The 18,201-nt window shown below is 51.9% G+C and overlaps 1 protein-coding gene across 9 annotated transcripts in view, besides 5 other annotated features; it reads right to left on the bottom strand.

Moving 5' to 3' along the window:
- Nucleotides 1–17,386, bottom strand: part of LHPP (phospholysine phosphohistidine inorganic pyrophosphate phosphatase) — a 152,319-nt gene extending 134,933 nt beyond the window's left edge. For all 9 annotated transcript variants that reach the window (XR_001747177.3, XM_005270026.4, NM_022126.4 and 6 more), the window contains exon 1: nt 17,222–17,386. Coding sequence is in view for 8 of the 9 variants with exons in the window: in XM_005270026.4 (XP_005270083.1) it covers nt 17,222–17,346 (125 nt within the window). In the remaining variant the exon portion in view is untranslated. The remainder of the gene's footprint in view (nt 1–17,221) is intronic.
- Nucleotides 3,909–4,409: an enhancer, noted in NCBI's record as "H3K4me1 hESC enhancer chr10:126163369-126163869 (GRCh37/hg19 assembly coordinates)". NCBI's record gives its function as "activates a minimal SCP1, AML or CMV promoter by ChIP-STARR-seq in primed H9 embryonic stem cells {active_cell/tissue: H9 hESC(primed)}" and the evidence as "EXISTENCE:reporter gene assay evidence [ECO:0000049][PMID:30033119]".
- Nucleotides 9,862–10,819: an enhancer, noted in NCBI's record as "H3K27ac-H3K4me1 hESC enhancer chr10:126156959-126157916 (GRCh37/hg19 assembly coordinates)". NCBI's record gives its function as "activates a minimal SCP1, AML or CMV promoter by ChIP-STARR-seq in primed H9 embryonic stem cells {active_cell/tissue: H9 hESC(primed)}" and the evidence as "EXISTENCE:reporter gene assay evidence [ECO:0000049][PMID:30033119]".
- Nucleotides 14,529–15,029: an enhancer, noted in NCBI's record as "H3K4me1 hESC enhancer chr10:126152749-126153249 (GRCh37/hg19 assembly coordinates)". NCBI's record gives its function as "activates a minimal SCP1, AML or CMV promoter by ChIP-STARR-seq in primed H9 embryonic stem cells {active_cell/tissue: H9 hESC(primed)}" and the evidence as "EXISTENCE:reporter gene assay evidence [ECO:0000049][PMID:30033119]".
- Nucleotides 15,030–15,530: an enhancer, noted in NCBI's record as "H3K4me1 hESC enhancer chr10:126152248-126152748 (GRCh37/hg19 assembly coordinates)". NCBI's record gives its function as "activates a minimal SCP1, AML or CMV promoter by ChIP-STARR-seq in primed H9 embryonic stem cells {active_cell/tissue: H9 hESC(primed)}" and the evidence as "EXISTENCE:reporter gene assay evidence [ECO:0000049][PMID:30033119]".
- Nucleotides 17,047–17,506: a silencer, noted in NCBI's record as "silent region_2910". NCBI's record gives its function as "represses an Ori minimal core promoter by ATAC-STARR-seq in GM12878 lymphoblastoid cells {active_cell/tissue: GM12878}" and the evidence as "EXISTENCE:reporter gene assay evidence [ECO:0000049][PMID:35858748]".

Raw genomic sequence — 18,201 nt, 5'->3', positions numbered from 1 at the left:
GCAGGGTCCTGGCTGCCAGATAGCCCCTCTGAGACCATGGCCCCCACCTCAGCACGCTGCCTCCTCCCCAGGAGTCCCATGGGAGTGGGGATTTGCTCCCACTTCCTGTAGCCAAACTGGATCTTTTTTTTTTTTTTTTTGAGACAGAGTCTCACTCTGTCAGCCAGGCTGGAGTGCAATGGCACAATCTCAGCTCACTGCAACCTCCGCCTCCTGGGTTCAAGCAATTCTCCTGCCTCAGTCTCCCGAGTAGCTGGGATTACAGGTGCCCACCACCATGCCCGGCTAATTTTTATATTTTTAGTAGAGACGGGGTCTCACCATGTTGCCCAGGCTGGTCTTGAACTCCCAATCTCCAGTGATCCACCTGCCTCGGCCTCCCAAAGTGCTGGAATTACAGGCGTGAGCCATGGCACCCGGCCTGAGCCACCGCGCCTGGCCCAAACTGGATCTTTGAACTGACCTTTACCTCATCTCAGCAGGCCAGGACGAGCCTCTGAGTGACAACATCGCCCGGGGCAATTACCGTGCATCAGATGAACCGGCCCTTACAAATCACCTCGGACTCTCCACATCTGCTGGCTGTTGGCATCTGCCAGGAGCGCTCACCCGCAAATAATGAAAACCCTCTCATTACTGTTCCACAGCAGGTAAACTGTTAGGACAATTATTGGACATCCTGAGTGACCTTGGGACAGCTCAATAGCTAGCCCTCTGGGGACCGCCGAGGGTCCTGAGGCTGGAGGGAGAATGGGATCCCTCGGAGGGGAGACTGGGCAGGCAGCAGGGGGCCTCAGGAAAAGGGCAGCATGAGCCCCTCCCAGCTGGGCCCCCTGCCCTCTAGCCCCGGTACTGGTCACCTTCGTGTGACCCAGAGGCCCTCATAGCACCCTGAGTCTTTGCTTTCATGCTCCCCTGGGGCCTGACCCTGATCATCCTACAAAGCAGGGTTCATACACCTCTTCCTCCTGGAGGCCCCACAGCCATGCACCCAGCCAGATCCCATCCTCCGAGCTGCGCCCACACAGCCCTTGGTGCTGCTCTGGTCCTGACATCACCACCTCCCTCCTCCTGCCTCCTCTGCAAGCCCGGGGCTTGGGAGGGCAGGGTTTTGTCTGCTCAGCACCTCTGCCATGCCTGGTGCCCAACCACAGTGGAGCCAAGATCAGCACCTGGGGGCACCCTGGCGCAGGACCAGCCCCATCCTCAGCAACCAGAGCCTTGGTTTACCAACAGAGGAGTCACCCCAGCATCTCCTGTGTAGGGATGAGGGGCAGTGAGCACCCAGGCCAGGGTCTCGGAGGCCACAGAGGGGCCACCAGGTGCTCAGGAGGACATAGGGCTGCAGGGAATCCTCGGGGGCAGTGTCATCAAAAGGCTCAGTTTGGCAGCTCATAGGTCAGAAGGGCTGCCTGGCCCACAAAGTGAGGCTGGAATTTGAGAAATGTCAACTCGTGCATTCACAGGGGCCGAGACTGGCAGGCAGTGACTGGCCCTTTCCTGCAGCAACTTTGCCAGATGCTCTCTAGAATCCTGCCCAAAATCTACCGGGCACAGTACCCAGTACCCAGCACAGTAGGTGCTTTACTGGGAGAAGCACCTAACTGACCCAAGTTCCAGATCTGACGGGCCCACTTGGTAATGGAGAAATTCACAGCCAGAGGAAAGGGGTGTGGAGGCAGCAGGGCAAAGGGGTGGAGGGTTGGTTCCCAGGGAGTGGGGTTGGGGGGCAGCGCTCCCCCACATCAGGCTTCAGCCTCCTAACTCCCAGCCTGCTCCTGCCTCTGGGGCCACATTGCAGACATCACCTGGTGTGCTGGAGGGTCCCTATTACTACTGAAATGGGAACCAGTGCAGAGAAATACAAGCTCAATGCCTCAGTTTCCTCAGAGAGGGGAAAGGACATTGACCACCCCCTTCCCCGGGGGTTGTAGTGAAAAGAGATGCAGGTGCAGCACCAGCCCCAGGCCCTCAGCAATGCCACTGGCATGAAATGTTTTTGTTTTGAGACAGAGTCTCACTCCGTTGCCCAGGCTGGAGTGCAGTGGCACAATCTCAACTTACCACAACCTCTGCCTCCCAGGTTCAAGCGATTCTCCTGCCTCAACCTCCCGAGTAGTTGGGACTACAGGCGCGTGCCACCATGCACAGCTAATTTTTGTATTTTTAGTAGACGGGTTTCGCTATGTTGGCTAGGCTGGTCTTGAACTCCTGACCTCGTGATCCGCCAGTCTCAGCCTCCCAAAGTGCTGGGATTACAGGCGTAAGCCACCGGCACCCGGCCTTGAAATGTTTTTAATAACGGGGCCTCTGGGCAGTGCTAGCCACTGTCTAATTTTCAGATCTTCAGTCGCTCCCCTTTTGGAAAGCAATGGAGATTGAACACGCATGTTTGGAGAATTGAAACCCACAAGGTGCTGATTTCCTCCAAAAATCCAATTTTCCAAAACAGAAGGTCAAGCAGGAGCCCCGTAAGCAGAGCAGAGTTGTTTTTTCAATAGAAAAATACAGTTATTCACATATGCCCCGGGGACGCCCACACTGATGTGCGCATGAGCCCACCCCGTGCCCTGCACCATGAAGCACACCAGCTTGGGCTGGGGGACCACCTGCAGGTAGGAGCAGCAACAGATCGGCATCTGTCCCCTGGGCGTGGGGTCTGGCTTCCCACCCTGGCGCGCGCACCAGGCTGGTGGAGTCTTGGAACCCGAGCCATAAACAGTGATGGGTGATGGTGGTGCCCAGCCTTCCAGCTCTCCAGGGCTGCCATGAAGGAGACGAGGTAAAGGCTGGGCACAGCAGAGATGCCACGGGCCCCTGGCACAGGGCACGGCCTCACACTGGCTCCAGCTGAGCCTCCTGCACTTGCTCCTCCTTCCAGCTGACCGGCCAGGGCAACAGGTCCACTAGACGCTGTTGAGCACCTGCACAGAGCCTTGAGTCATCAGAGTCCAAAGTTTGAATGGAGAGAAGAGACACAGTGACGCAGGAGCTGGGACCTAGCTGGGCCTCCTGGTCTGGGTCAGCTGGGCAGTCACCTTAGCGGGACGGCAATGAGGTCAAGCTGGGGCCGGCCCCCAGCTAGGGCACTTATAAAACACGCAGCACACCCTCCCGTACCTGCGCCTCCTCACCTGCCGGCAGAACTCCCATCTAGAGTGTTCTCTGAAGTGCCTGTGCCACGGAGCCCAGATCACAGGGACATGTTGATCCCACAAGCATCGATGTCCCAGGAATCAATAAACGCAATTTAGAATGAAGTACATGGGAATCGGCAGCCAGAGACTTTGGAGACCACACAGCCCGAGTGTCTCATTTCACAGAGGGGGATACTAAGGCCCAGAGGGACAGGAAATGCCTCGTGGCATGTGGGGGTGAGGGGTGGGGATCCTGGCTCCTTTCTTCCACTCCTCAGCCTAGGAGCCTCAGCAGCAGCCCGACGTCCCTGAGGGCCATGGTGGCTGCAGGGGACAAAGGCCAGGCCCCTGTAAGTAAGGTGGGAGCTCAGCTCGGGAAGCAGACACACCTCCTCCCTGTATGACTGTGGCTTGTCACCTAACCCTCTGCAACCTCAGTTTCCTCACCTGTAAAATGAGGCACCAACAGTAGCTACTGGACAGGGCTGTCATGAAGATCATATTATTTATTTTTTATTTTATTTTATTTTTGAGACGGAGTCTCACTCAGTCACCCAGGCTGGAGTGCAGTGGCATGATCTTGGCTCACTGCAACCTCTGCCTCCCAGGTTCAAGTGATCCTCCTGCCTCAGCCTCCCAAGTAGCTGGGATTACAGGCACCCGCCACTATGCCCAGCTTATTTTTTGTATTTTTAGTAGAGATGGGGTTTCACCATGTTGGCCAGGCTGGTCTCGAACTCCTGACCACCGGCTCATGCCTGTAATCCCCAGCACTTTGGGAGGCCAAGGCGGGTGGGTCACTTGAGGTCAGGAGTTTGAGACCAGCCTGGCCAACATGGCGAACAACACAGTGAAACCCCATCTCTATTTAAAATACAAAAGTTAGCTGGGTGTGGTGGTGCACACCTGTAATCCCAGCTATTCAGGAGGCTGAGGCAGGAGAATCACTAGAACCTGGGTGGCAGAGGTTGCAGTGCGCTGAGATGGCACCACTGCACTCCAGCCTGGGCGACAGAGCGAGACTCCATTTCAAAAAAAAAAGACATGAGAAGCACCTGGCACATTTCAAATACTAAATAAATGGCAGTAATTGCTGTGGTGGTGACAATGACAACCACGTCTCTGACAAACCCACTGTTGGGGCAGGTACATTCTGAGAGGAAGCCAGGTGCCCTGGGAAGGAGGCCAGCAGGAGGAGCCCAGAGTGTATCGCCCAGGGGCACCTTTAGAAAGAGGGGAAAGTTTACACCAGCAGGGAGCCCAGGGTGAACTGAGCCCCAGCAGTGGCTACAGCAGCGCCCGGTGACTGGCTCCTCCTCCACCGAGCCCCAACGGCATGTTCACATCGAATCCTCTTGACAGTCTGAGAGGTGGGTTCATGTTTCCATTTACAGATGGGACCTGTGGTTTGGAGATGGGACCTGTGGTTTAGAGATGGGACCTGCTGTTTGGAGATGGGACCTGTGGTTTGGAGGGGTTCAGTGACTTGTCTAGGGACAGAACTGGGATGAGAATCCTTTTATGTTGGCTTCATGAAAATACAAACAGATGTGGAAAATACAGCTCCTTGAGCAGAACTGTGTGCTTTGGTTTAGCATGTACACCGAGTTCAACAACTACAAGACTTCATATGGCCGGGCACGGTGGTTCATACTTGTAATCCCAACACTTTGGGAGACTGAGGTGGGCAGATCCGTTGAGCTCTGGAGTTCAAGACCAGCCTGGGCAACGTGGCAAAACCTTGTCTGTACTAAAAATACAAAAATTGGCCAGGTGCAGTGGTGTGCACTTGTAGTCTCAGCTACTTTGGGGGCTGAGGTGAAAGGATCGCTTGAGCCCAGGAGGTCGAGGCTGCAGTGAGCCAAGATTGTGCCACTGCACTCCAGCCTAGGTGACAAAGTGAGACCCTGTCTCAAAAAAAAAAAAAAAAAAAAAAAAAGGGCAAAGCAACCCACTCTTCAAAATTATTTGACCCTTCAACAACAAAATGCTCCTTTAGCTCCTAGATATGGAATAAGTAAAACGTTGGCTTTTATCTCCTGATAGTTTAAGGTAAAAAGGAAAAGAAAACAAAAACTTAAAAAAAAAGGAAAACGTTGGCTTTTGTTTGTTTTTGCTTTTTTGAGACCGAGTCTCGCTGGTATTGCCCAGGCTGGAGTGCAGTGGTGCAATCTCAGCTCACTGCAACCTCCGCCTCCCAGGTTCAAGTGATTCTTCAGTCTCCTGAGTAGTTGGTATTAGAGGTGCAAACCACTGCACCCAGCTAATTTTTTTATATTTTTAGTGAGACGGGGTTTCACCATGTTGGCCAGGCTGGTCTTGAACTCCTGACCTCAGGTGATCCACTTGCCTCGGCCTCCCAAAGTGCTGGGATTACAGGCATGAGTCGCCTCGCCCCACCCAAACATTGGTTTAAGAGAAAATATTTCACTTAATTCTTGCAGCCTGGGTACAGGAATTACACATAGGAAACTGGGGCCCTTGAGCTGCAGCCATAATGGGGTGACGGAACGCTAAGGGACTTCCTTGAGGCCACATGGCAACTATGGGGCAGAGCTGGGATTGGAAACCCACGCTCTCACACTAGAGCTGACACCTGGCACTTTCTGTGACAGGATTAAGCTTTGCAACAGGTAAGAGGTGGTGCCTGCCCTGGCAGAAGCAGCAGCCCTCAGTCCCCCTCAAAAGGTGTCTGAATAAGTCCTATCACTTCTGTGAACCTTAAGTTCCTCCTCTACAAGCTGGACAGCAACGTGCCTGTTGCCGGGGGCCTGGGAAATCACCCTGCACACCACAGTGGGCAGGTGTGGCACTGCTTTGCCAATATGGCTTCTTGCACGTTGTGGGGCACTGGGGGTAGGGGCAGGACTCCATTCATGAGCTTTGTAACTTGTGCCACACTCCCCTTGTAATTGGCCAAGGGCTTCCAACCAGAGGCAGCACCTGCAGGGTAAACCAATAATCCTGTGCCAGACCCACCCTGGCTGCCCTTGATTTTCACAGGGTGACCCCCGCCCACCAAGGCTGAGATCAGAAACTGAGAAGCAGACCTTACTCCTGCCAGCAGAGCCACGGGAAAGCTTTCAAGCAGCCATCAGATTTTCCTCAGTCTCTTTCCATACAGTTCAAGTTTGTGATTCTATTATGACTCTACCCCAGATATACGGGGGTGGTTGTGTTTCCTTTGTTTTCTCTTAACAAAAATGGAAGTTTAGGCTGGGCGCAGTGGCTCACGCCTGTAATCCCAGCACTTTGGGAAGCTGAGGCGGGCGGATCACCTGAGGTCAGGAGTTCAAAACCAGCCTGGTCAACATAGTGAAACTCCGTCTCTACTAAAAATACAAAAGTTAGCCAGACGTGGTGGCAGGCGCCTGTAGTCCCAGCTACTCAGGAGGCTGAGGAGGAGAATCGCTTGAACCCGGGAGGCCAAGGTTGCAGTGAGCTGAGATCGCACCACTGCACTCCAGCCTGGGTGACAGAGCGAGACTGCGTCTCAAAAAAAAAAAAAAAAGTAAGTTTATACACATTATTCTACAGCTTTTTCACTTGGTATATACAGCACTCATATCATATAAACTAATGTCAGCACCAAACAGAGCGAAGTCATTCTTTCATAGCTGTCTAACAGTCTGAAGTCTGGATAAACCAGAAAACATTCACTCATCCCTCCTAATAAGCTCGCTTCCAGCACTCACATAAACTTCTAAGCATATAAACTGTGTTGTGTGGTTCACTGCTGCAGACCTCAACATTTTTTTTGAGACAGAGTCTTGCTGTGTCTCCCAGGCTGGGGTGCAGTAGCACAATCTTGGCTCACCCCAGCCTCTGCCTCTCGGGTTCAAGCAATTCTCACGCCTCAGCCTCCCAAGTAGCTAGGATTACAGGCGCACAACACCACACCCAGCTGATTTTTGTATATTTAGTAAAGACGGGGGTTTCACTATGTGGGCCAGGCTGGTCTCAAACTCCTGACCTTATGTGATCTGCCCGCTTTGGCCTCCCAAAGTGCAGGGATTACAGGCGTGAGCCACTGCACCCAGCCCAACATTGTTATTCATAAAAACACTTCCATCATTCTCATCAGTTGACCTCAGAACAAACATTATAAATTTGAACACAGAAAACATATTCCATTCTGAGCTAGACACGGTGGCACACACCTATAATCCCAGCTACTGGGTAGGCTGAGGCAGGAGGACTCCTTGAGGCCAGGAGTTTGAGACCAGCCTGGGCAATATATTAAGATCCCATCCCTATTAAAAATAATATACTATTCAAACACTGTTCTCATAAATATTTATATATAAATATATATATATACAAATATATATACAAATATATATATACATAAATATATATACAAATATATATAAATATACATAAATATATATACAAATATATATAAATATACATATATATAAATACATATATAAATATATATAAAATATAAAAATATATGTAATATATATAAATATATAAAAAATATATAAATATAAAAAAATTTATATATATATAAATATATATAAAATATATATAAATATATATAAATATATAAATATATATAATATATAAATATATATAAATATATAAATATATATAATATATAAATATATATAAATATATAAATATATATAATATATAAATATATATATAATATATAAATATATATATTATATATATATAATTTTGGAGTTCTACTCAAAATTTCATTTGGTTGGATAAGTGCTCTGAGGCTACAAAGAATTCAAAACTCCTGGCCCGGGGACCTGCAAGGGGTCTCCAGCCTCCAGTGACCTGTGACTAACCAAACACATGCCTTGGGCAATGGTGGGGCGGTGGCATTCAAGAGTGATGGGGCAGGTGCCCGCAGAACTGGACAAGAGTCAGGGAAGGCTGCATCTCAAAATCCTCTGTGCTTTTGAGGAATACGAAGGAAAAGGATGTATTGTGTCACCCTGGGGAAGTCACTGGGACTTGGTCGAGGATGGAGGACTTGGACTTTTCACTCTGTATATTCACAGGCTGGTGAGAATGTTTACATAAGGAGGCCACCTATTTCTTATGAAACTTAAAATGTTGAAATGACAGCTGAAATCACAGAACCCAGGGTGAAAGAGCACCGGCTCCCATCTCTGAAGACAAAGTGCTTCACCTCCTGACAGCAAATGGGACCACAGGTGACGACAGCACGTTCTCGACAAACACCCCTTGTCCAAGGTCCAGGTTGCATCAGGAAAACTCCTGTTGGCTTAAACAAATGCAAACAAATGGCCCTCTCCCTACAATGTCCTGCCAGACCCCTCCGGCAGGTGCCACACCGCGTGTGGGGGTTGGATGAGGCAATAGAGATGAAGTTCCAGCCCAGGCCCACAGCCTACATTATTATTATTGTTGTTGTTGTTGTTGTTGTTGTTGTTGTTGTTACTATTGCTGCTACTCCCAGGGACCTGTGTCCCTAGGGCTGGATGGTACCAGGGAAGCCGGGCATGAAGGAGGGGATACTGGGGTGCCAGGACCAGCTGGACTTCAAAGATCCCCTGGCCCTGGCCTTCGCTGTTCCAGACCTACTAGGAGGCACCTACGTTTTATCAGGATCCCGAAGGCACCCAGACACACAGGGGATTGAGAGGTGCTACTGGACGGAAGGGCTGTGGGCCTGGCTCCACAGCACCAGGCCGATCGATCGGGGCGGTCCTGGGTGGGAATTGCTTTATGAGGCTGCCCTGGGCCAAGTCTTCTTCCTTCCGCCGGCTCCAAAAACGCCGAGCCGGGCCTGGGCTGGGCCCAGCAGATGTGCTTTAGTGGCCCAAGACAGGATGCAGTAAATGCCCACCCCCTTTCACATGCAGATGCCTCCCAGCCATAGGCCCAGGGCCCCGAGGCCGGCCTCTGCACCCCTCGCTGTGCTGGGCCCTGCCTCTGAATGGCTCCCCTCGGGGAACCCAATCCGCCCATGAAAGGGCTTCAATAAAGGGCCTGTTGGGGGGACACGGCCGGTTACAGATGTCCTCCGGCCTGTGACCACGCCCACCCACAAGTCCTAGAGCAGCAAGTGGGCCCTGCCTGGCCAGCAGCACCAGTGTGGCCTCAGAGGTTTGGGCCTCCTGCTCCTTCATCTGGGATGCTCTTAGCCCAGATGCCTGCCTGGCTGGCTCGCTCAGCATCCTCCAATCCCAGCTCCCTCGCCATGGGATCTGCGAGGCCAGGTACCCAGCCCAGGGCTCCCCACCTCACTGCGTGTCTCAGATGCTCTAGCCTTCCCGAGTGCACGCTGTCGCCTGCTGGTCCCCCATGACTGCAGCATCGGCTCCACCTGTTCACTGCTGCACATCCCCAGGGCCTAGGATGGTGTCTTTAGTACAGCAGAGGCACTCAATGTTTGCTTGTTGAGTGTATGAGTAAAGGAATGAATGAATGAAAAAAAAATAAAAAAGGAATAAATGAACGAATGTGTGTGTGTGCATGCATCTTTAATGAGGGCTCGGCAACATTTTCTACTTCTGCCAGTTCCTGAATCTCTCCGATTTTTGGTCCTCACTTTGAAAAGAGGAAGCCCCCCCCACCTCAGGGGCTGGTGTGAAGGGAAGGTGGGTGGTTAAGCACCTGCCTGGCGCACGACAGGCCTCCCTCGATGCGGGGTGACTGCTGTTGCTGTGGATATTATTTTAAAAAGTTGAGCTTCTACTTCCCCCGTGCTCCGTGGCCCTCAATAAAATCGGAGGACCCATCATCACAGAAAATCCAAGAAGAAGAATGGTGACAGTGTGTCGCCCCTCGCAGGCTCAGAGAACGGACGATGCTGCCAGGGAGCCCATGGTGCCGGGAGCTGCCACGGAGGCATGTGTTCCCCCTGCCAACCCTAAGACCCCCCACCCCACTCCAATCACACTTTTCCCTCTGCGGCGGCTGGTCTCACCCCAGGAACTTCCTTTGAGCTCCTGCAGGACTTCAAAGCAGGCTGTACATATCAAGGAGGCCACAGCATGAAAGGCGCAGGGCCACTCGCCCCCGTGGCTGCAGGCCACACAGACTTCACCTGGGCAAGTAGGGCCTGCTCCATGAAGGCTTCCCGGCTCAATCACCAGGCGAGGAAAACAGGTGTCCTGCATCTCTGGAAAATCCCCAGGGAAAATTCCAAAAGCAGGCACACTTTCCTGGAGGGGGCGTTTCCTGCACCACCTTCGCAGCCACTCTGGGCATCTGCCACGAGCCCCACAGGCATGCGAGGGAGGGTGTACGGAGCTTCCCGGGCCCTGAGGGTGATGATCTGGCCCCAGAGGCACTGGGCCAGAGTGGAGGGGCCTTGCCCTTAAAAGCCAACAGAAAGGCTGAAGGGGGCCCTGCCAAGGTCTGCCGAGAGCCGAAGGGCACGCTGGTGTGGGCGGAAACAGGTTTGTGGGTGCTGGACAGCTCAGCGGCCCCTTCAGTGAAAACCCCACCAAGAAGTCTGTGTAACTGGGGGCCAGTGGAAGAGGCCACAAAGGTCAGTTGAGAAGGTCCTCGTGGACAAGGCAGGACATGGGGACTTGGTCCTATGGCATGGGAAGCCCATGGGGTTGAGAGACCAGGCCATCGGTTCTGCAGGCCCACAGACAGCACAATAACAAAACCTCCCATATCACGGGTGTGATGTCCCCTCACCAAAAATAATCCCATATGCTTTTGGGAAGGGAGATTTTAGCCTCTCCCAGCTACATAACAGGCTGTGGTGTATTTCGGGATTGTTATTACATTGCTGTTAGATGTATACAGTATAGCTGCTACCAGAGACACCCCCAGCTAGATAAATCTGCAGGAGCCAAAGCAAATCCAAACAAAACCCTCCTGGCAATCAATCAGTCAGAAGACACCAACCCAGAACCCAGAGAAGTTAACAGAACCCTTTCCAATGTCACAACCTGGAATCTGCACGTTTGTTGGACAGTTCTATATCACGTGGGGGTCATCTGCTCAAAATAAGCTGTTAGAGAAGCCTGTGACATTTCCCAACACCCCCTTCTCCCTGAAGGATTCCAAGTAGGGGTCTGGGTTGGGCAGACCAGGGCTCAAACTGTCCCTTGGGGGCTGGGCATGGTGGCTCATGCCTGTAATCCCAGCACTTTGGGAGGCCCAGGCGAGTGGATCACTTGAGGTCAGGAGTTTGAGACCAGCCTGGTCAACATGGTGAAACCCCGTCTCTACTAAAAATACAAATGATTAACCAGGCATGGTGGCAGGCACCTGTAATCCCAGCTACTCTGAGGCAGGAGAATCCCTTGAACCCAGGAGGCGGAGGCTGCAGTGAGCCGAGATCATACCACTGCACTCCAGCCTGGGAGACAGAGTGAGACTGTCTCAAAACAACAACAACAACAACAACAAAAAACACACACACACACAAAAGAAAAACCTGCATGTGGAGGTATACCTGTAGTCCCAGCTATCTGGGAAACTTGGGTAGAAAGATTTTTTTGAGCCTAGGAGGAGGTCAAGGCTGCAGTGAGCCGTGATTGTGTCACTGCACTCCAGCCTGGGAGACAGATCAAGATCCTGTCTCAAAAAAAAAAAAAAAAGAAAAAGAAAAGAAAGTGGTCTTTAATGTTACACTGTTGTGGGTCTACTGTGTGCCAAACACCAGGCCAGGAACTTGACATACATCATGAGCCATCATGGTTCCCGCCCCATGACCCCCTCCCTGCCCCCTCTCCACCCTGCCAGCTGTTCCAGTCAGACACCGGAAACCACCCTTTATTTCAAGTTCTCCCTGACCCCCACAATACCCCGTATGTCCGCAGGTCCCATAGGTCCTGCTTCCAAAACACCTCTTTAATTCATGCCTTCCTCCCCATCTCCATTGCCTTCTACCCAGTCCAAGCCCCCCCACCTCCTGCCCTACTGCCAGCCTGTTCTCCACACTGCAGCCAGAGAGATCTCCTTGAAATATTTTATTTAAAAAACAATGGTTTTTTTTTTTAGAGTCTCACTCTGTCACCCAGGCTGGAGTGCAGTAGCACATTCATAGCTCACGGCAGCCTCAAACTCCTGGGCTCAGGCAGTTCTCCTGCCTCAGCCTCCCAAGTAGTTGGGACTACAGGCGTGCACCACCATGCCCGGCTAATTTTTGTATTTTTTGTAGAGATGGGGGTCTCGCTGTGTTGCCCAGGCTGGTCTCAATCCTTCTACCTCCAGCCTCCCAAAGTGCTGGGATTACAGGTATGAGCCACTGTGCCCAGACGTTAATATTTTGAATTTTAATATTCAATTTAATATTTGAATTGTAATATTTTGAATAGAAAACACATTCACATAGTTTAAAAATCTTAAAAATGATATGCAGGCTGGGCGCGGTGGCTCACACCTGTAATCCCAGCACTTTGGGAGTCCAAGGTGGGCAGATCACATGAGGTCAGGAGTTCGAAACCAGCCTGGCCAATGTGGCAAAACCCCATCTCTACTAAAAATACAAAAATTAGCCAGGCATGGTGGCAGGTGCCTGTAATCTCAGCTACTCGGGAGGCTGAGGCAGGATAATCACTTGAACCCAGGAGGCAGAGGTTACAGTAAGCCAAAATTGCACCACTGCCCTCCAATCTGGGTGACAGAGCAACACTCTGTTTCAAAAACAAAAACAAAAACGTTGGTATACAAAGTTATACAGTGAAGAGTCTTTCTCCTACCCTGTCTCCAACCACACAGTGGCCCCCACTTTCCTTATCCTCCAGCTCTTCCCAGACTCTGAAGCAGCCTGCGTCCTTCCAGTGTCTTTATGCAAACACAGCAGGAGAAATACATTCTTGCATTTCTGCATTTTCTATACCAGAAACAGCGCACCGTGCATCCTGCTGTGTGCTTGCTGTCTCCACTAGTAATATGTCTATAGACAAGGTACTCATTCCTTCTTACACTGCATGTTATTCTGCTGTATAAACAGACAGACCCTAAAACTCCCCTACTGATGGATATCTGAGCTGCTTCCAGTCTTTTGCTATTTAAAAGGCATTGCCAGGAATGACCTTGTACTTGTGTCCTTTCTCACACGAGATAGGACAAATTCTCAGAAGCGCAACCACTGGTAGATAATGTCAAATGTATCTTCTGCAAGCAATGTGTGGCAGGGTCTGTTTCCACAAACTCTCACAGAGAAAGTGTTCTCAAACTTTTGGATTTTGGCCAATTTTGTCAAATTGATGAAACAGGGCAGCTTGATATAGTTTTAATTTGCATTTCTCAGGCTGGGCGCAGTGGCTCACGCCTGTGATCCCAGCACCTTGGGAGGCCAAGGTGGGTGAATCACTTGAAGCCAGGAGTTCGGGACCAGCCTGGCCATCATGGTAAAATCCTGCCTCTACTAAAAATACCAAAAATTAGCTGGGCACGGTGGCATATGCCTGTAGTCCCAGCTGCTCAGGAGGCTGAGGCACAAGAGTGGCTTGAACCCAGGAGGCAGAGGCTGCAGTGAGCCGAGATCACACACCTCTTATTTGAGTAAGGCGGAGCCTCTCTCACTTCCTCTTCCATGACCTGTTTGCATCTTTTGCTCATATTGCTATTGGGCTGCTTGTTCGTTGTTTTTGCTTTCTAGATTTCAAGGCCTGGATGTAAAGGCCTTCTCTCCAAGGTTTCAAAGGAAATCTCCCTTGCTTTCATTTGACTTGTATGTCTCACTTTTTACATTTGTATTTCTTTAAAACATATAAATCAGACCACATGATATGCCTATCTAGAGTCTTCACTGACTTCCTGCCACTCAGGATAAAGTCCGGACACCTCTCCGTGCCCCTCAAGTTCCTGCCTGGTGTACCCACTCCCCCACCCCACGCCCTCGAACTCGCCAAGTGCTCTCTTCCTGAGGTCTTTGCAGCTACCATTCCTTCTGCCTGGAATGCGCTTCCTCCGCCTCTTCCTGCAGACAGTTCCCTCTTATCCCTCCGGGTCTGTCCAGTGCCTTCTCCTCAGAGCTGTCCCGACCCCCTCTCTAGCACAGGCCACCCTCGTCCATCACACTCTCAGTACCCTCCCGTCTTCACACCCCTTAGGCCTACCTGTGATGATGCGCTTTACCCGTGTGCCCACCTGTGAGGATGATTTACCTGTGTGCCTGCAGCTTTACTGTCCCTCTCCCCTCCACACATCAGACCCTAATACTCCCCTACTGATGGGTATCTGAGCTGTTTCCAGTCTTTTGCTATTTAAAAGGTACTGCCAGGAATGACCTTGTACTCATGTCATTTCTCACGCATGAGACAAGGACAAATTCTCAGAAGTGGAACCACTGGTAGATAATGTCAAATGTATCTTCCGCAAGCAATGAGTGGCAGGGTCTCCCATGAGGCCTTGCCTGCCCCAGTCACAGCATTGAGCTCTGGCTTCCTGCTCCCCAGATGAGGCCCACTTCACCCCAAAACACTGCCCAGAGCCCTCTGCTGGATTCCCACCAGTGCCACTCACAGAATGCTCTCATCTGTGACTGAGCTAGTCTAAAGCTTTGGAGTAATGGAGAATAAGGTCAGGAATGCACTTAACCCTGAACTTCAGCCAACACTGAGAGCAGACCCAGGACCCAGCGGAGTGTCCTAGGTCTGGGCTGCCCTTTGTGCTTGCTCCTGGAAGCCAAGTCTCCCTGTTCCCAGTTCCCAGCCTCCCAAACACCTCCGGCTTCACTATGCGGGACCGTTTGGGTCCCTATTATCTCAGCAGCTCCCAGACATCAGACATGCAGATTGGTAGAATGGGGTCTCTAAGAAGGACCAAGAGACTCAGTTAATTGCCACCTACAGATAGGTATATTGAGTCCCAGTGACATCAGGCTACCAAGCCAGGGTGCCTCAGCTAGTGACTCCGGGAGGCCAAGTCCTGGCAGTTAGCCCTTCCCGGCTGCCTATCAACACATGGCAGTGCTGACCTGGGATGCCAACAGGAGGCCTTACAAAGCCCAGGTCCAGTGGTGCCAACCATGCTACTGAAAGTGTCCTTCTGGCTGGCCACAGTGGCTCACACCTCTAATCCCAGAACTCTGGGAGCTGAGGCAGGCAGATCACTTCAGCCCAGGAGTTCAAGACCGGCCTGGGCAACATGGCAAAACCCCATCTCTACAAAAAACACAAAAAAATTAGCTGGGCATGGTGGCACGTGCCTGTAGTTCCAGCTACTTGGGAGGCTGAGGTGGGAGGATCTCTTGAGCCCTTGAGGTAGAGGTTGCAGTGAGATTGAACCACTGCACTCCAGCCTGGGTGGCAAAGTAAGACCTTGTCTCAAAAAAAAAAAAAAAAAAAGAAAAAAAAATTAGGCCAGGTGTGGTGGCTCATGCCTGTAATCCTAGCACTTTGGGAGACCAAGGCAGGAGGACTGCCTGAGCCAAGGAGTTCAAGACCACCCTGGCAACATAATGAGACCTTGTCTCAAAAAAAAAAATTATACAAAGAAAAGTGTCAGCCAGGTGCGGTGGCTCACGCCTGTAATCCCAGCACTTTAGAAGGCCCAGGCAGGTGGATCAGTTGAGGTCAGGAGTTCGAGACCAGCCTAGCCAGTATGGTGAAACCCCATGTCTACCAAAAATACAAAAATTAGCTGGGCGTGGTGGCGGGTGCCTGTAATCCCAGATACTTGGGAGGCTGAGGCAGGAGAATCACTTGAACCTGGGAGGCAGAGGTTGCAGTGAGCCCAGATGGCGCCACTGCACTCCGGCCTGGGCAACAAGAGCAAAACTGTCTCAAAAAAAAAAAAGTGTCCTCATGGTCAAGTCTTGGCTGGCACGATGTTCTCTTCCTCCTCCTCTCACCTAAACCAATGCAGTCCAACAGAATTATAATGAGAGCCACAAAGGTAATTTAAAGTTTTCTAATAAGCACATTAACAAAAGTTAAAAAAAAAAGGTATACTTAATTTCAAATATTTTAACCTAAAACAGTATATTAAAAATATTATCAACTGGGCATGTGGCTCACGCCTATAATCCCAGCACTTTGGGAGGCCGAGGCAGGTGGATCACCTGAGGTCAGGAGTTAGAGACCAGCCTGCCCAACATGGTGAAACCCCGTCTCTACTAAAAATACAAAAAATTAGCCGGGTGTGGTGGCACATGCCTGTAATTCCAGCTATTCAGGAGGCTGAGGCAGGAGAATCGCTTGAACCTGGGAGGCGGCGGTTGCAGTCAGCAGAGATTGCACCACTGCATTCCAGCCTGGGCAACAAGAGCAAAACTCCGTCTCAAACAAAACAAATAAAAAAAGTAACTGGGCATGATGGCGGGTGCCTGTAATCCCAGCTACTCGGGAGCCTGAAGGGGGAGAATCACTTGCACCCGGGAGGCGGAGGTTGCAGTGAGCCGAGATCGTGCCATTGCACTCCAGCCTGGGCGACAGAGCAAGACTCCATCTGAAAAGAACAAAACAAAACAAACAAAAAGTATATCATTTCAACAGGCAAACAACATAACCCATTTTCATGTTTTTATTTTACATTTTACTCACGAAGTCTGGTGTTTTTGGGGGTTTTGTTTATGAGACCGTCTCGCTCTGCAGTCCAGGCTAGAGTACAGTGGGGTGATCACAGCTCACTGTAGCCTTGACCTCCTGGGCTCAAGCGATCCTCCTGCCTCAGCCTCCCAAGTGGCTGGGCCTACAGGCGTGCACCACCACACCCGGCTAATTTTTAAATTTTTGGCAGAGACGGGGTCTCCCTATGTTGCCCAGGGTGGTCTCCAACCCCCTAGCCTCAAGCGATCCTCCCTCCTCTGCCTCTGCAAGTGCTAGAATCACAGATGCGAGCCACCGCGCCCGGCTAAGTCTTGTTAATCGGTATGCATTTTACGCTTACAGCACATCTCAATTCAGACTGGCCGCAGGTCAAGCGCTCAGCAGCGCACGTACCAGGTGGCCGCCCTGTCTGACCGCGCAGCCCTAACCAGCAGAGTCCTGGTGCTCGCCGGGGGCAACAGTGGGGTCGTCCGTGGTCAGCACTGTGCGCGCACCGGGGTGGGAAGGGGGAGACCGAGGCGGGGCCTGCGCCGCGGCCCCGCCCCCTGCCGCCCCGCCCCCTGCCGGCAGCCAGGGAGCGGGCTGAGCTTAGAGCTCGGCGGCCCCAGCGGCGTCCCGGGGCCCACTCACCTGGCCACCGCCTCCACCGAGCCGGCGATGGCCGTGCCGCCGCCCGCGCCGCTGTCGTACAGCACGCCCGAGATGTCAAGCAGCACCCCGCGCACGCCAGCCAGCCGCTTGCCCCACGGTGCCATGGCGCCCGGCCCTGCTCCTCAGCTCCGCGTCCCAACCGACGCCGGCGCCGGCGCCGCGGCCGCGCAGGGGCGCCTGGGAACTGTAGTCCCGCGGGCGGGGCAGGGCAAGAAGACCGGGTGCAAACCCGGAACTGGGGCGCGGCCTGGGCACCCCGGCGTCACTCGCCCCTGAAACGGTGTCCTTTTCGGAAGCTTTCTTCCCAGGAGATCAGCGGACAAAGAGCAGGAAAAGCAGAAAACAAGTCCCTAAGAAAGGTCAAAGGCAAATTGAGACAAGAAGGCACCTGTAGCCAGGGGCGGTGGTTCACGCCTGCAATCCCAGCACTTTGGGAGGCAGAAGCGGGCGGACAGCTTGTGCCCAGGAGTTCTAGACCAACCTAGTCAACATAGTGAGACCCTGTCTCTATTAAAGAAAGAAAGAAAAAGTACAATACAAAATTGAGGCCGGGCGTAGTGGCTTATGCCTGTAATCCCAGCACTTTGGGAGGCTGAGGCGGGTGGATCGCTTGAGATCAGGAGTTCGAGACCAGCCTGGTCAACATGGTGAAACCCCTGTCTCTACTAAAAATACAAAAATCACCTAGGTGTGGTGGCGCATGCCTGTAGTCCCAGCTACTCGGTAGGCTGAGGCGGAAGAACCGCTTGAACCTGGGAGGCGGAGGTTGCAGTGAGCCGAGATTGCACCACTGCACTCCAGCCGGGGCGACAGAGCAAGACTTTGTCTTAAAAAAAAAAAAAATTATATGCAGATAACAGCCCTGCATAGATGAGGATGCATAGGACCTGGGCTGAGAAGAAAACGGGACTATCACAATGCGTTAAACCCAGGAGGTTTTTGGATAAGCTATAAAATAC

This window comes from Homo sapiens, chromosome 10, assembly GCF_000001405.40.
Source record: "Homo sapiens chromosome 10, GRCh38.p14 Primary Assembly".
Classification (NCBI taxonomy): Eukaryota; Metazoa; Chordata; class Mammalia; order Primates; family Hominidae; genus Homo; species Homo sapiens.
The sequence above is the reverse complement of the archived record's forward strand: the minus strand, read 5'-3'. Positions and strand labels throughout refer to the sequence as shown.